We start from the raw sequence: 2876 nt of genomic DNA, 5'->3' as shown, positions 1-2876 counted from the left end.
ACGCTCTTTTCNACTATCTCCAGTGGAGATTTGGAACGCTTTGAGGCATACGGTAGTAAAGGAAACAGCTTCATGTAAAAACTGGACAGAAGCATTCTCAGAAAATACTTTGGGATGATTGAGTTCAACTCACAGAGCTGAACATTCCTTTGGGTGGAGGAGTTTTGAAACACACTTTTTGTAGACTCTGCAGGTGGATATTTGGACCTCTCTGAGGATTTCGTTGGAAACGGGATAACGTCACCTAACTAAACAGAAGCTTTCGCAGAAACATCTTTCTGACGTTGGCCTTCAAAGTCCAGAGTTGAGCCTTCCTTTGGTAGTTCACGTTTGAAACACTCTTTTTGGAGGACCTGCAAGTGGATATTTTGAGCACTTTGTGGCCTTCGTTCGAAACGACTGTATCTTCACATAAAATCTAGACAGAAGCCTTCTCAGAAACTTCTCTGTGATGATTGCATGCAACTCACAGAGTTGAACATTCCTTTTGATAGAGCAGTTTTGAAACTGTCTTTTGCTAGCATCTGCAAATGGATAGGTGGAACTCTGTGAAGACTTCTTTGGAAACGGGAATATCCTCACGTAAAAAGTAAACAGAAGCATTCTCAGAAACTCCTTTGTGGGGCTTGTGTTCAACTCCCAGAGTATAACATTGCTTTTCATAGAGCAGTTTTGAAACATTCTTTTCGTAGAGCCCCCAAGTGGACATTTGGAGGGCTTTCAGGCCTGTGGTGGAAAAGGAAATATCTTCACATAAAAACTAGAGAGAAGCATTGTCAGAAACTTCTTGGTGATGATTGCATTCAACTCACGGAGTTGAGGATTCCTTTTGATACAGCAGTTTGGAAACACTCTTTCGGTGAAATCTGCAAGCGGATATGTGGACCTCTTTGAACATTTCGATGGAAAAGGGATAATCTTCCCATAAAAGCTAAACGGAAGCATGCTCAGGAACTTGTTTGTGATGTTTGCATTCAACTCACAGAGTTGTACTTTCCTTTTGATAGAGTAGCTTTGAAACCCTCTCTTTCTAGCATCTGCAAGGGGACATTTGGAGGGCTTCGAGGCCTGGGGTGGAAAAGGAAATATCTTCTCATCAAAGCTACATGGAAGCATTCTCAGAAACTGGTTTGTGATGATTGCATTCAAGTCACCGAGTTGAACATTCCCTTTGATGGAGCCGTTTGGAAACACACTTTTGGTAGAATCTGAAAGGGGAGATTTGGACCGCTTTGAGGCCTATGGCAGTAGAGGATATAACTGCACATAAAAAGGAGACAGGAGCATTCCCAGGAAACACTTTGTGACGATTGAGTTCAATTCACAGAGCTGAACATTCCTTTGGATGGAGCAGTTTCAAAACACACTTTTTGTAGAATCTGCAAGTGGAGATTTGGACCGCTCTGAGGATTTCATTGGATACGGGAGAAAACTCACCTACGTAAACAGAAGCATTCTCAGAACCTTCTTCGTGATGCTTGCATTCAACTCACAGTGTTGAACCTTTCTCTGATAGTTCAGGTTTGAAACACTCCTTCTGCAGAATCTGCAAGTGGAGATTTGGACCTCTTTGAGGCCTATCGTAGTAAAGGAAAGAACTTCATCTAAAAACAAGACAGAAGCATTCTCAGAAAATTCTTTGTGATGATTGAGTTTAACTCACAGAGCTGAGCATATCTTTTGATGGATACGGGAGAAAACTCACCTATATAAACAGAAGCATTCTCAGAACCTTCTTCGTGATGCTTGCATTCAACTCACAGTGTTCATCCTTTCTCTGATAGTTCAGGTTTTAAACACTCCTTCTGCAGAATCTGCAAGTGGAGATTTGGACCTCTTTGAGGCCTATCGTAGTAAAGGATATAACCTCATCTAAAAACAAGACAGAAGCATTCTCAGAAAATTCTTTGTGATGATTGAGTTTAACACACAGAGCTGAGCATATCTTTTGATGGAGCATTTTGAAAACACACTTTTTGTAGAATATCCAAGTGGATATTTGGACTTCTCTGAGAATTTCGTGGGAAACGGGATAAACCTCACATAACTGAAGAGAAACATTCTCAGAACTTCTTTGTGATGTTGGCATTCAACTGACAGAGTTGAACCTTCCCTTGTGAGTTCAGGTTTAATCGCTCTTTTCGTAGTATCTGCAAGTGGAGATTTGGAACCCTTTGAGGCCTACGGTAGTAAAGGAAACAGCTTCATGTAAAAACTGGACAGAAGCATTCTCAGAAAATACTTTGGGATGATTGAGTTTAACTCACAGAGCTGAACATTCCTTTTGGTGGAGCAGTTTTGAAACACACTTTTTGTAGACTCTGCAGGTGGATATTTGGACCTCTCTGACGATTTCGTTGGAAACGGGATAACGTCACCTAACTAAACAGAAGCTTTCGCAGAAAAATCTTTCTGACGTTTGCATTCAAAGTCCAGAGTTGAGCCTTCCTTTGGTAGTTCACGTTTGAAACACTCTTTTTGGAGGACCTGCAAGTGGATATTTGGAGCACTTTGTGGCCTTCGTTCGAAACGGCTGTATCTTCACATAAAATCTAGACAGAAGCCTTCTCAGAAACTTCTCTGTGATGATTGCATGCAACTCACAGAGTTGAACATTCCTTTTGATAGAGCAATTTTGAAACTCTCTTTTGCTAGCATCTGCAAATGGATAGGTGGAACTCTGTGAAGACTTCTTTGGAAACGGGAATATCCTCACGTAAAAAGTAAACAGAAGCATTCTCAGAAACTCCTTTGTGGGGCTTGTGTTCAACTCCCAGAGTATAACATTGCTTTTCATAGAGCAGTTTTGAAACATTCTTTCGTAGAGCATCCAGGTGGACATTTGGAATGCTTTCAGGCTCTGTGTGAAAAGGAAA

Source organism: Homo sapiens, chromosome 1 (genome assembly GCF_000001405.40).
Source record: "Homo sapiens chromosome 1, GRCh38.p14 Primary Assembly".
Lineage (NCBI taxonomy): Eukaryota > Metazoa > Chordata > Mammalia > Primates > Hominidae > Homo > Homo sapiens.
This window is presented reverse-complemented; position numbering follows the sequence as displayed.